Raw genomic sequence first — 13,832 nt, forward strand, 5'->3', positions numbered from 1 at the left:
TACCTTATGTGCTCCAAAGCTCAGTGTTCTTACACCTCCCTCATTTCCTCTGCCTAAGGGGCCAGGCCCACCTGGTTAGCTCCTGCTGAGCTTTTATACCTCAGCTCAAATGTTACTTTCTCTGGAGCCTTTCCCAGCACTTCAGGTTAAATCAGATCCTGCTGCAATGTACTTTCAGAGCATTGTAGACATTTTCTTCATTACCATGATTCGTTTGTTACAGGCACTTGAGTGGCTGCTTAACGTTCATTTGCCCCACTCAAGTATGAGCTCCAAGTGGGTATAATGTCACCATGGCCCACCGATGTATCACCATGTCTTGCCTAGCACCAGAGGCATAGGAAACGCGCAAAGTTTACAAGCATGAATGAATAAATGAACGATCGAGTGAATGAGCACTTTCAAGAGGTAGCCCTTAAAGACTGTAGGGGCCAGCGTGTCAGAGGTGTGGACGTCAGCTGTGCTCTGTGGAGCATTGTGGCACACCTGTCTCAGCCTGGCCGACCATTCTAGCATAATTTGAATATAAGTGTGTCTTTTCTGAGATGGTGTGCATCCTGAGAAAAGGGGCCTCTTGTTCAATCTTTATCTTCTGCATCTAATACAGGAAACTATATCAAACACAGAATTCAAAAGAAACATATATTGAATGGCCACACTTTTCAGCAAGTTTCTTTAAAAGGATGGCAGCTTCTCTAACTTATATATCACTCTCTTTCATTACTCAAATCGGGCTATATTCCAAAGCCGAAACAGTGCCCACCACATGTGACTGTGTTGCAGCCATCCTATCACCTCTGGCCATCAAGTTTCCGTTGGCCTACAGCCTATCTGCTGAGTTTTTGAGGCATTTTACAAGTATCATTAACCTCATCATGTTCAATAACTGTAAAAGTAGGAAAATCATTGAGTGTGCATTTAGAAAGACTCATGATCATGATGGAATTTAAAGTGAAACAATTTTACATGAGTAGGTACCTATCTAGTATTTGTGGAATGTTTCACTCCTGTCCAACAGGAAAAGTATCTTATTCATGTGGGGTTAAAAAATATTGATAACAGAAGGCTCAGTTCACACATGCCTCCTCATCAATGAGCCAGGGCACATAATTAGTTGACCAGAAGGCTCGCTGGGATTAATTAGCAGCTGTGTGTGAAAAGCTTGGTTCAGATTTGTAGCACGAAGGATAGGGGTTCTAGAATGGCCACTTCCTGGATTCACAGTTCAATCACGCAGGAGGATCTCAGGGCTTGGCTGTTGAAGTTGCTGGGGGCTCTTGGCTCCTATATGGACCGGTGTGGGCATGTGCACATCCAGCTACCGCCGGCAGAGGGCAGCAGTACGCTGCGCGTGTTCAATTTGCATCCCAGATTAGCAAATCCCCAAGGACCTACATAAGAAAGAGGGTGTCCCAGCACTACCCTAATTCCTTTTCACTGGGTATCAAGACTGATCTGAGTCATTGCAAACACAGACCTTTTACATTATGTTGGACTTTGGCTCATCTGAAATAGAGAAATGAATACACAACTAGGAGCTGCCATCACAGACAGGAAGTAACTTTAATTAAATATTGTGAAAGTTGAAAAGTTTTTACAGCTTGAATTTTTGCAAAAAAAAAAAAAAAATTTAACAATCTCTACAGTAGTTAGGTTCTCTAACAATTGAACTGTACAGTGTGTGTCTATTCAAAAAGTTTTGATAAGAAGGTGAAAGGTTAGTAGATTTAGAGATGACTTCATTTAAGCTGCATCCTAGTACAATGTGAGGCCAGGGCAATGTTATGCAATCCAGTCATCCAGAAGCTGTATTTTTTCCCCCAACACTGAAATCTTAATTTAATTCTTCATTTCATTTTCTTCTTAAAGCCATATTCTGTATTTAGGGGAACATCTTTTATTTGTAAAACTTTTGTGGAGAAGAAAGAGGATCAGAGGGCCAGAATGTCTTTTCATCTAATCAATAGAAATAGAAGCAACAAAACACAAATTATACACATTTTAAAGGCTCTTTGGACTTTCAAGAAGAGTTCTAACCACTGCACATGGCTGACAGATGGGTAGTGTCTGTTGTCAAGGTCTAAGCCGGACACCTTCCCGGCTGACCGTTCATTCCTTCAGAAACAGTTAAGGGGCTCACCAGATAAAATATGGCTTTAACTTGTGTACATCTTCAGGCCAGCGCTTACCACGCAAATTCAGATAACCTTTCTGAGTACCGAGAAGCAATGCGTCCACCTTGCTTACATTTTCCAGTTTTTTTTATTATTATTAGTCATCATTATTATTTCTCACCATGAAAAACAGCTTTCCTCCCTCCCCTACCCTCCCACAACTCCCCTCCCCCACCCACCCCAACCCATAAAAATCGCACTCTTGACAGCCTAGTGAAAACCATTGCAAAATCCATATGGGGGCATGCACAGTTGCAGCATTGTTGTAAATGATTTCTTGCTCTACTAGAAAAAGTTACATTGTCTTAAGGTAACAAAACAGTTCTTTTGTGCTTTTCGATTTCTTTGTTTTTTTTTTTTTCTTTTTTTCTTTTTCTTTTTTCTTAGAATGTTAGTGATGACTGACAGTTCTGGTGCACAGTTACAATGTACAAGTGAAATGAATATGATTTGCATTGTTAAGGCATCCAATCTGCTGGTTTATATTTATGTGAAAGACAGAGGAAATATACAAGCAGACTTAAGAAAGAAAGTATGTTCATTGATTTCTATGAAGTTTCTCCCTAGAATTTAATGCACAAAATGCGTCACTCCAAAGGGAGAGATTCCATGCATATTAATAGAGTAAAACAGCATTAGGGTTGTTTTGTAAGCTTCCAAAGCAAAGGATACATTTTTTTTTAAATCTACTGAACTAAATACTACAAGAATAATATGCTACTATTTTTTTTTTTTTGCCATATATTGGAAAAAACTTCTTAACTTACAAATAATACAAAAATAGACAATGACTTTTGGGTGGAAATTAAAAAAACTGAAGCATGGTTTATAACAATACTAAAAATAACTATAAATGAAATGTTTAAAAATCACATTGAAACAGCTAATACAAGTGTAGGTGACCAAACAAATACGCACTTTTCACGTAGCAAACATACACAATAAAATAAATTGGGGGTGGAAGGAAGAGGAAGAAGGGAAAAGCAATGTACAAATTCGAAAGATAAATACATTATTTATATGGATATTTTACAAAATCCCCTTTAAAACAAAAAGCCTTTTAATTAACTTTGCAAGTATGTGCAAGCTAAAGGTAGTGAGCTTTTTTTCTTTGCAAAATACGCAGTAAAATCTTTTTGTGATATTGAAAAAATGTCTTAAGACATTAAAATGTATAAATAGAACAACAACTTTGGCAAAAAATCACAAAAAAAAAATCTACAGTATTTATAACTACATACAAAAACACAAGAGCAAAGAAAAAAATATCAGGCAAATGCATCCTCAGAGCTTTGCTGCATCTTTGCTATTAATTCTTATTTTTAAGAACACTTCCCAGATAATGAGAGCAAAAATTCCCATAGAACAGAAAACTATGTTTTGGAGGTCTCAACCTTCTTTTCCTTTCTCCACCCCCGGTTCCCTTTAACTCTTAATTCCAAAGCACTTAACCTGTTGTTTCAATCTATTATGTTACAAATGGTAAGGGTCGACTGATAGAGGCAGTATCTGGAATGGGAAAATCGAAAATACCTGCCACGTTGCTTTTATCAACTTTTGGAAGATAGGTATGAAGTCTGCATTTAGGACGAGTAAACTTTAAACTTGCAAATGGGGGAGCGTACGTGAGGTTTTGGCTTGTTAACTGGAGGGCAGAGTGTGGAATTCTGTGCCTGGACCCTGTTCCATGAAGTCTCAAAGGAGATTCTCACACAGTATGTGTGCCACCAAGCTCTCGAGAGGCCATCGGCTTCAGAAGAAACTGACTTAAGTAAAAGGAGAGAATGAGATCAGATTTAAATATGCAGTTTTAACAATCTGTCTAGAGGCACTGGATTTTCGAGTAGAGGGAAAAATGTGATCACTTACATCGCGTTTTAACTTTCCAGGCTGCATTTATTTACACAGTTGCTTAAGACAACAATACAAAAGAGATAAATAAGCTTGCACTGCTAAGGGGTGGCATGTTAAGTTAGATATTGAAAATGCACTGTCTGAGCTAACTACCATTTGATATGCTTTAAGGCGCAAAAGCCGACCCTTAGTTTTTCTAAAAAATCTAACTGGCATTCCTATTCTGTCCCATACAAGCTTTTTTTTTTTTCCTTTTTTTCTTTTTTTTTTTTTTTACTTTTTTGTAAATATCACCACTTCATTCTTCCTTTACACAGCTTTAAAAACATCATAAATTAAAACATGGAGTCTTATTTATAGTGTCCCTTGTATAGAGCTTTACGGTTTATAAAAGACAAATGATTGCAGAATTAAGCTTAAAAAAAAAAAAGAAAAAGAAAAAGTGGATTTGCTTTTGTCAATACAGAATAAATATATCCCCCAAATACTTGGGAGGTACAACTTTAACCAACACCCTGCACTTGCAGATCCCTCTTCCAATTTCAGTATTTGCAAGGTCGGTGATTTTGTTTGTTTAAAAATCTGCAGTTATTGTGATTCCTCTTAAAAAGGCCTGAGTTAAAAGTTCCACTCTGGGACTTGTATCAGATTACTCTCTGTAGCAGAATCCAACCTCTTCATTAATACAATTCTTCAAGGCAATTCTTTCACATAGGAGGAACAATCATGCCAGATATCGCTATGAAAGAAAAGACAGAAGTCAATGGTTTCTTTGCGTTCAAACTTCTCACTGAGAAAAATAATGAAGACTAAAAAAAAAAAAACACCCACACACAACTATGTTGTTCGACTATTAGCCACAAATTTGCTCTCATCTTCTCTGGAATGAATTTTCGTTATAAAATATACATGTGCTTTATTAAAAATTATAATAAATCAGCATGGGTATGTGTCTTTAACAGAACAAAATATCCTAAACATCTCTCCAAATCTGATTTCAATTTTAAGGCATAACTGGAAAGTTGCATAGTTTGAATACCACTGGGAAAGTTGCAGCTTCGAACCTTGCAAAATAGTGAGAATTTTCACTTTGTCACTCTTTTTTCCCTCCCCTTCACACCCAAAATATAAAGAAGTGGTCCATCCAAACTGCAAGCAGTTTCTACAAAAAACTTGGCATTCCCTATCCTCTGTATTAGCACAAAAACTAAGCCACAGAGCAGAAATCTTGAGTGCCTTTGCTTAGGTCCTTAAGCTGGGAGAAGGAAATGCCAGCTACAGCAGGCCTTGTTCACTGGGAACATAAAGTTGGGAGAAAGCATAGCTGGGAGGAGAAGACAGGTTTGCATGAAACTGCAGAATGTCTTCCATATCACGGCTTCACTCAACGTTTCGGGAATGATCTGACCATATTTCCTAGAAAACTGTAGCCTGGGGAAGCTGGAGTGAGATCCTGGGAAAAAAGAAGCCTGTTTGAGGTAACCAAAAATTGTTGAAAGCATTCAAAGCTAGGAGGTCGCAGATAGTGGTATTTAGAGAACACAGAATCAGATAGGCCTGAGTCCCACCTCTGGCTTTTCTGCTGTGAAGCTCAGCTTCTGTAGCTAGAATCACAGCAACACTTAGGGTTATTGGAGAGGTGAATAAAATGACACATGCAAAGTGCTTAGCCTGGGTTCAGCTCCTAGTGAGGACCTGATAGACGTTAGCTGCTGGGATTTTTAACCCATCACTTCTGCTACTAAACTAGCTGTGTGACCTTGTGTTAATTGCTTAACTTTTCTGAGGTGTATTTGCTCTTATGTCAAATAGGCACCATCCCATGTGGCACACTTTGTGTGATTGCTGGGAAGAATAAAAGGATAACTAAGAAAATTAAAACAGGGTGGCACCTTTGAAACATGTCAAAGTGAGAGAGATGCTGACATTACAAGCAAGGGGCAGCCGTCTTTGGCTCCCAATCACGGTTAAGTGTCTTGTCAGGCAGAGAGAGTCATTGCTTTCTTTTTATGGCAAATCTAAACGTAAATTAATTAGTGTTCTTGTCAGTGATGACTGTGTCTAGGAAGTGGCCCTCTTAGTTTACTATTCTGGAAGAATGTGCCTTTAAAAAAAAAAAAAAAAGCGAACCCCAGTACCACAAATCCTGCAAGTGGACACAGGGAGGCCACCCTGGGCTCTTAGCCCCAAGACCCCCACGTTCCTCCGGCTTCCCCACCCCCACCCCTGGTATTTTAGATTCAATTAAAATGAAACCCAAAAAGTATTTTGCCAAACACTTTTTCCGTTAATTTTTAAACCCATCTGTATTCACAAGGAAATTCAATCCACATGTTTCTGATTCATTTACACGTAAATCATCCAAATGTTGTTTTGCAAGAGCCTTTTTGCAGCCCAAAAGCTCCTGGAGTCCTTTCTGTAAGCCCTCATAAGCCTTTTTTTCTTAGAAACAGGAAGTTGTCTTTTGCCAAACGCAGACCAACTTAAACCCCCAAAGACTTGAGATCAGTTGGAAATGCAGTCCCCCTAAGATTCAAGTGAGCCCTAGGTTTGACTGAAACCAGGAGCTCAGTATTTCAATCCAAGCCTTAACTGGAGAATTCGAGATGCTATCACTCCAAAGGCAAGGAGGCGCAGGGGAGTCTTTGCTGTGTGACAGCCCAGCATGGCTCTGCCTCCCCAAGGATCTTTTCATCTGGGCTGGAGGTGGGTCCAGGCACCTTTATTAAAGACAGCGGGAGTTTTAAGCCTGTGGCAAAAGGTGCAAGTCTACTTTCGCTTTCCACCAAAATCTATTCTGCGTGCCTGGCATTAAAGAGCAGTTCCCTATAGTATAGTCACACAACTCAGGCAGTATCAATATGATTCAAAGCAAAGGAAAAAGCTAATTTGGTTGGTGGGTCCAGCCAACATTTATTAGCTGGTCTGTGAAAACATCCCATTTGAATGGCCAGAATTAAAAAAAAAAAAAAAATCTAAGCAGGCTTTTGGTACCCAAATAGTGTGTTAGATCAACTAGATTAAGCCTCCACTTAGGGCCACATTAAAAGTTCTAAAGCAAAGCTAACTGATGTACCAGTTCATAGTTAACAGCGCTTTTTATTTTGGACCATTGGGGCTGCAAACTCCAGCATCCCAAGAGCCCAGGCTGCGAACAGCAGTGAGTGAATCCCCTGGGTGCGTAAGTGAGGATGGAGGTGATGATGCCAAGGGCATGCCTGGGCAGTGACTCAGCTCCCACCAAATGCCACTGGGCAGGAATGCCTGCTCACAGCCACTGATCTTCTCAAATGTTTCAAGAGAAGCTAGAGATTTAGACTTTGTTTTTTTAAAAAAAGAAATAGCCAAGTTTATACATGATAGCACAAAATTGAAATTAAAAACAAATATATGGGTCTAGGGGGTGGGTTTGGCCCACTCCTACTTTCCTACCTCGCCTTCATCAGCCGACAGACTTCTCTGAGAGTCTAATGGGAGCTATGGAACCTCTCTTCAAAAGAGGTTGTGATGTCTTGGCACACAGTGCTGAGTATCCTCATGGGGAATCTTCATGTACCCTACTTGGGCAAGACAGCATGCCACAGCATTTCTGGAACATTCTAAGGCCCATGTTGCCTACACCCAGAATTTTGCATGTAATATCAAAGCATTACTGTTCTCTAAATCCCAATCATGACTTCCTAAACTCCAAGGGCAGAACCCTTGCGGTTGAGTAAATTATGGGAAAAGATCCCTGCCTGTGGCCTCTGAGCCTAGATACCTCCAAAGAGGCCCTTTTAATAGAGAAACTCCACTGCAAAACTGCCTGAAGATCTTGAGTTTTAGGAGTTGTTTTTCTTATATCTGTGCTGCAATCTGAAGATTATGTGGGTGAGAGGGATGGGTGTCTGGAGCTTGGAATGTTCCAGCAATGCCATTGGCATGCTAACTTGCCCAAGTGGAGTGCATAAAGATTCCCATGAGGACACCACCCTCTCAGCACCATGTGCCAAGACATCACAAGACCATGGTGGCTCTGCCATTTTCCCCAGCAGCTGGATGATCATGTTCTCTGACAGAAGCTCAGAAAACTATTGCTTTGAGAGGCAATGCATTTTTCATTACCGTTTCCATATTTTTGATAAAAACAAAGACAAAACAAAGTTCTGCAGAGCTGGGAGGGTTTGGAGTGAGAGGGTGGAATGTGGTCGTACCCAAACCACCACATGTGTAAGAATTATGAGCTAATCACTCAGGAGGCTGAGGCAGGAGAATGGCATGAACCTGGGAGGCAGAGCTTGCAGTGAGCCGAGATCGCGCCACTGCACTCCAGCCTGGGCTACAGAGGGAGACTCCTTCTCAAAAAAAAAAAAAAAAAAAAAAAAAAAAAAAAGAATTATGAGCTAATCAGGAACAGGGGGGTAAGTGAGTGGGTAAATCTTGCACCGACTGAATATGTGCATGGAAAAAATGACGATTCCATAGGATTTGGTCCTGGGCTGCATGATATCTAGGGTTGAGAAGAGCCAGCCTGAGCTTCAGCAAGGTGGAAAAGAAAAAACATCAGTATATGGATACTACTTTTGTGAAATTACTCTGGCCTTTTTGTTTTTAATTTTTCATGCGTAGACTGTCCAGGACATGGCTAAGGTTTAGAATCACTACATCAGCGGGGGTTCCAATGGCATGTAACAGCCTTCTTGGGGATGCCTCTGTCTTGAATAAATGAAGTCCTCTGAGGCCTAAATTGCCTGAAACCCAAGCTCTAAGCAGCATAAGCTTCAGGAGAAAGGAGAGGACATCTCCATGGACAAAGACTGAGCATAGTTGGTGACTCAAGTCTTTGGCTCTGGAAAACAGACACAGTTAGGTAGTCTGGGACCAGGATTTATCAATTACTTCACCTGCATAAGAATAGAAAGAGGTATCTCTGCATTTTTCTCTTTAAATCCAAAATATAGTTGCATTTTCCAAAGTTTTTCATATGACATTAAGTGTTCTTAACATGCAGAAAAGGACTCTGTAGGCAAACAAGTTTGCCAAACTAAATGAAATAGTCATTTTTATTTAACTGCAGGATGCCCCAGAGACTTTAATTGTGGATCTCCAAGATAGTGATCCAGGGAGCACCACATTCTAAATGTTTTTGACTACCATATTTTTATTTTTTAACAGGACATTTTGTGAGGCTCCAGAAGTTGAGACTAGAGTTGCTTTTTCAAAAAAAAAAAAAAAAAACCCTCAGATATATGGTAACTTTTCAAACGTTTTATCTACCTGGGAGACAAAGCCAGCTGGAATCATGATAGAATCTGTGAATCCTACTGGTCACCGCATGTTATCCAGGACATGTCTGTCTCTGCTTCTTGGCTAAGGTTGTCCTCAGTCTTTCTGCTGAAAGTGCCCCTTGCCCCCATCTCCCTGGCCCTGAATCCCACTTGTTCCTCCTTGAGCCTGTTCTGAATTCTCCTTCATCTTTCCTTCCTCTGTACTTCCACAGCTGGGTGCCCAGCCTTTCCCAGACAGATCTTCCTTATTTACTTTGGTGTCATGTCTCCCCTAATACAGGGAAAGATTTTGAGGGCAGGATTTTGTAGCCCTCTTGTGCCTAACCTAGTGACTTGAATATAGAAATGTAATATAGCATAGGGGCTTAACATAGTCCAGTCAATCTGTCTGGGCTTAAAGCCCAGGCTTCCTTGTTTGCTAGTTGTGTAAATGGGGACAAGCCACCTTAGCTTCAGTCTCAGTTTCTGCATCTGTATAACAGGGACAACAGACAAGCTACCTTAAGGGTGGTTGGGAGCCAGGCTGGGAATAAGCCCTCCTAGTCAGTGGCTGTGTTCACCATTATCACCACCATGTGACATGGCCGTGCTTAGTTCTTGGGGAATAAATATGCGTGTAGTAACCGGAGGAGACTAAGGGAGTGCTGCTGGGGAAGAGGTCTTTTAGGAGTCGGCTTTAAAAAACAGAACCATGCACAGTTAACAGAGTGGTAGTTGGAGGTAAATAGGCCTTGAAAACACTTAAATGGCCTAAATGTGGCACCTCTAATCTTGTTGACATGGGCAATTTGCTTAACCAAGTCTTCCTAGTCACTTAACCTGTCTTAATGATCACAATTCTGAACTAGGTGGGTCCCAATGAAGTAGGTGCTACTGTAACATTGAAAAGGAAAAACGTGGAATAGAACACTTCAGGGATCCTTACACCAATTCCATAACCTGCCTTCATCCTTTTTTTCTTTTTTTTTTTTATGGTAGAAATAGTTTGGAAAGTTAAAGATGAAGTAATTCTCTGAATGTCACCTTTCTCAGGGAAAACTTTTGTGGCTCAAGCAAGAGTGCCCTGAAAAACTGGTGCCCACCTAAGGCTGGGTCCTCTTTGCCCTGCTGGAGATTGTGTGCAGAGGCTAAAGAGGCAAGTCCCAGAGTGTGGGCCCCACCTGCCAGCACAGCACCTGGGGGTGCAGTGGGCAGAAAGAAGAGCTTAAAGTGAGATGTTTACATTAATTTGACTTTAATTTCTCCATCCGTATGTCCATCACTGACATCTCAAAAGTAGGGATATTTGGTATATGACAGTACGAGCAAACCAAAAACCATTTTCTTTCTTTCTGTCTTTCTTTTTGAAATAGTCTTGCTCTGGAGTGCAGTGGCACGATCTCAGCTCACTGCAACCTGTCTCCCAGGTTCAAGTGATTCTCCTCCCTCAGTCATCCTAGTAGCTAGAACTACAGGCTGCACCACCAGGCCCGGCTAATTTTTGTATTTTTAGTAGAGACGAGGTTTCACCATGTTGGCCAGGCTGGTCTCAAAGACCTGACCTCAGGTGATCCACCTGCCTCAGCCTCCCAAAGTGCTGAGACTACAGGTGTGAACCACCACGCCCAGTCCATTCTTTTTATAGTTGTTTTATCATGCTCAATAGTCAGGGCATGGGATAGGGGAAAATCCAAAAAAGTCTCCTTGACATTTGTTCAATCAGAAGGAAAGGGCAGTGTCATCCACAACAGTGAATCCAGCACAAGGTGTGTCCCTGAATCAGACCTCAAACCTCCCACACTGTGGCCCTGTGTTAGGAAAGGTGACAGAGAGGCACAGACTCAGCAGTTATTCAGAGAAATGGGGACAGTCTCTGTACTTTTGGGATCTGTAATTGGGTAAGAATTGAGTTGGAAAATCCCTGGGAGGACAAATGCACAAACTTTGTATATATCCCTGTCCTGAAGCCATTTCATCATGACTTAAACAGGCACATACCCTCATCCAGATCCTGGCTTTCAGTTGATAACCAGATCTCCTGAAACCCAGGAAGTCATAAGATCTGAGCCCAGCCCCTGTTTCCAACCACTTCCTGCTCCTTCCTAGGACCACAGGGCATGAGAAGACATCGGGCCTCCTGGGAGCTGCCCACTTCTGTCACTGTTGGCCTATGATAGAGCCACTGACCTTCCAATAGTGGGGGCCTTTTCTTCTCCAGTGCTTCCCGTCAACTGCTGATTATAAACCCCATCATATCTTGTTTCTGATGTCAAATCTATGTTTAGCAAGGGCTGAGATTGGCAGCTCAAGAATGGTAAATTTCTGCTTTCCATATGTATGATCATTATTTAAACCTATTATAAGTTATATTCGCTCAAGCATTATATCCCTAGTTTGCCAGCTGGAGGTGTACTGAGGGTGACAAAGCATTATTTTTAGCTGAAAGAGAATGAGATTTGCAGGAATGGGTGGCTCTACTTTGTGGAGGTGGGCATTTTCTATCATGAGTAATATTGCCTGAAATGCAGTTGCACAGGCACGCTTTTTTTTTTTTTTTCCTCTTTCCTCTAAGAAGATGGATTTGCCACTGTATGTTAGAGTGGGGAAGAGCGGCGTGCTCTGTGGGGCGCTGAGTCTGGGCTGTGCTGGGCAGATTTGCAAGCAAGGTTCTGAGGAGTATTTTGAAGAGTCCTCCTGGAGGCAGAAAGACAACGTGATCGGGTGCTCAGGCTCTGGGGTCACATGGCTTGTGTTCCAGTTTAGCTGTACTATTTATTAGCCATGTGACCTGGATCAAATTAAGCCTCAAGTTTCCCATCTGTATAATGGGACTAGTGCTGACATCATACGGTCTTCAGGAGAATCACTATATGCTCATCACAGTGTAAAGCATCCAGCACACAGTATGTGTAGACAAGTAGAAATATGCATGTACTTGTACATAAGAAACAGGGCTGAGATATCCCAGACATGTGCACTGCCTTCCTCACCCCTCCCTGACTTCCAGGCTGACCTCCATCAGTGAGATGCCAGCCACCAAGGGAAGACACTGTGGGAAACTTTGTATGGCTGGGCTTAAGGGCACAGACTCTGATGGGGCTTACATTCATCTCCACCGTTTAACCGACTATGTCTGTGGTCAGGTATTTACCCTCTTTAAGCTTCCATTTTATCATTTGCACAATGAAGACCATAATGGCCCTCATACTTTAGGAAGATGTGAGGATTAAATGGTATAAAATCTGCTCCATGCATAGGACAGCCCCAGGTACACTGTTCAGTGCTCAATAAATGGTGGTTGACTAGTTTACTAATCTTATCTCCCTACCAGCTGCCTTAGGAACCCTGGCTATGTCTCTTTTAGCACCTCTGAATAATAAAGTATTTAGGAGATGAATGTTTCAGTCTGAATTTGAAGCCAGCTTCTGCCATGTATCAGCTGTTAAAAGTCAGGCAATTTCATAACCTCTCTAACCTTTAGTTTTCTCATCTGTCAAATAGCAGATATGAGTACCTACCACACAATCCTGCTGGGGGCAATGAATGAGGTTGTGCAGGTCTCAACATATGACACACAACAGAGTGCTAAGCTCATAAGAAAAATGTAAGAAATGGTGTGCTCAGTTTTAAAAGGTGGGTAACCTTTTATTCTTAATGAAAAGGTCATCTCAACTCTTAGCAACTATTTTATTTTCCAAATGCAATGGTGGGAAAGCGATTGAACAATTTTAATATGAATCAGAATACTCTAGTGGTGTTCTGGGGTTTCTTAATCCCAGTAGGAAGTCTTTGGCCTTTGGTCTATGATGATCTAACTTCAGGGCTCTGATCAAGTTATGGCTCACCCCCTCCCTGTTATCAGCCCCACACACGTTCACTCTGACACAGGCAACAGGAAGGGAAGGTTGAGTGACCTACTTCAGGAGAAGGCCAGTCCCGGGAGAGACCCTGCACTGGAGAACTTGCTAGAGTCCACAAAAGACTGATCTGATAATGGCGACCACAAGGAGTGAAAGAGGAGAAAAGAGAAATGATGCTGTTAGTCAGTAGAAACAGTATTCCCAAGCAAATCCCGGGCCTGAGCAGAATTGCTGAAGTTGGAAAGAGGACTTCTTGAGCACCTCCAGCAGAGGAGAGATGAGTATGGCCAAGGGCCAAGGGCCAGGGTTGAGGAGAGCAAATACAAAGGAACAGAAGAGATGAGGGCAGAGAGAATCAGGCAGGGCCCAAGGCTGATACCCTCAGCAATGGTGATGCATCTGCTTCAGGCCCTGGGAGGGTGAAGTCAGGGCATTGAATCTGGATTGGCAGGTGGGGCCTGGGGCTTACCTTGCAGGCTGTTCCCGTTGGTGCTGGTGCAGGTGGGAGGTGGGGAGGTCTGGGGTCTGACGACTGGTGCGAAAGCACTCTTCTGTTTCACGGCTGAGACCATGTTGGCTGGTGAGAAGGAGAAGATGCCCGAGGAGCTGCTGCAGTTGGAGGGGAGGCTTGTGGAGGAGGCCATGGTGGGGCTGGATGGCACTACTGAGAGGGGCAATGAGAAAGGAGAAATCAGTGC

The 13,832-nt window shown here is 42.0% G+C and overlaps 1 protein-coding gene across 25 annotated transcripts in view, besides 1 other annotated feature; it reads right to left on the reverse strand.

The window, feature by feature from the left end:
- Nucleotides 1–1,544: 1,544 nt before the first annotated feature.
- Nucleotides 1,545–13,832, reverse strand: part of EBF1 (EBF transcription factor 1) — a 403,997-nt gene continuing 391,709 nt past the window's right edge. For 13 of the 25 annotated variants that reach the window (NM_182708.3, NM_001324108.2, NM_001324107.2 and 10 more), the window contains 2 exons: nucleotides 13,604–13,798; nucleotides 1,545–4,767 (listed from right to left, as the gene is read on the reverse strand). In NM_182708.3, the coding sequence (NP_874367.1) occupies nucleotides 4,736–4,767; nucleotides 13,604–13,798 (227 nt within the window). In that variant the 3' untranslated portion in view covers nucleotides 1,545–4,735. Of the gene's footprint in view, nucleotides 4,768–13,192; nucleotides 13,262–13,603; nucleotides 13,799–13,832 lie in introns of those variants that run through there. The other 12 variants (XM_017009194.2, XM_024454390.2, XM_047416888.1 and 9 more) reach the window with 2 other exon arrangements.
- Nucleotides 3,396–4,050: an enhancer, noted in NCBI's record as "NANOG hESC enhancer chr5:158124779-158125433 (GRCh37/hg19 assembly coordinates)". NCBI's record gives its function as "activates a minimal SCP1, AML or CMV promoter by ChIP-STARR-seq in primed H9 embryonic stem cells {active_cell/tissue: H9 hESC(primed)}" and the evidence as "EXISTENCE:reporter gene assay evidence [ECO:0000049][PMID:30033119]".

The sequence above is a fragment of the Homo sapiens genome, chromosome 5 (assembly GCF_000001405.40).
Source record: "Homo sapiens chromosome 5, GRCh38.p14 Primary Assembly".
NCBI lineage: Eukaryota > Metazoa > Chordata > Mammalia > Primates > Hominidae > Homo > Homo sapiens.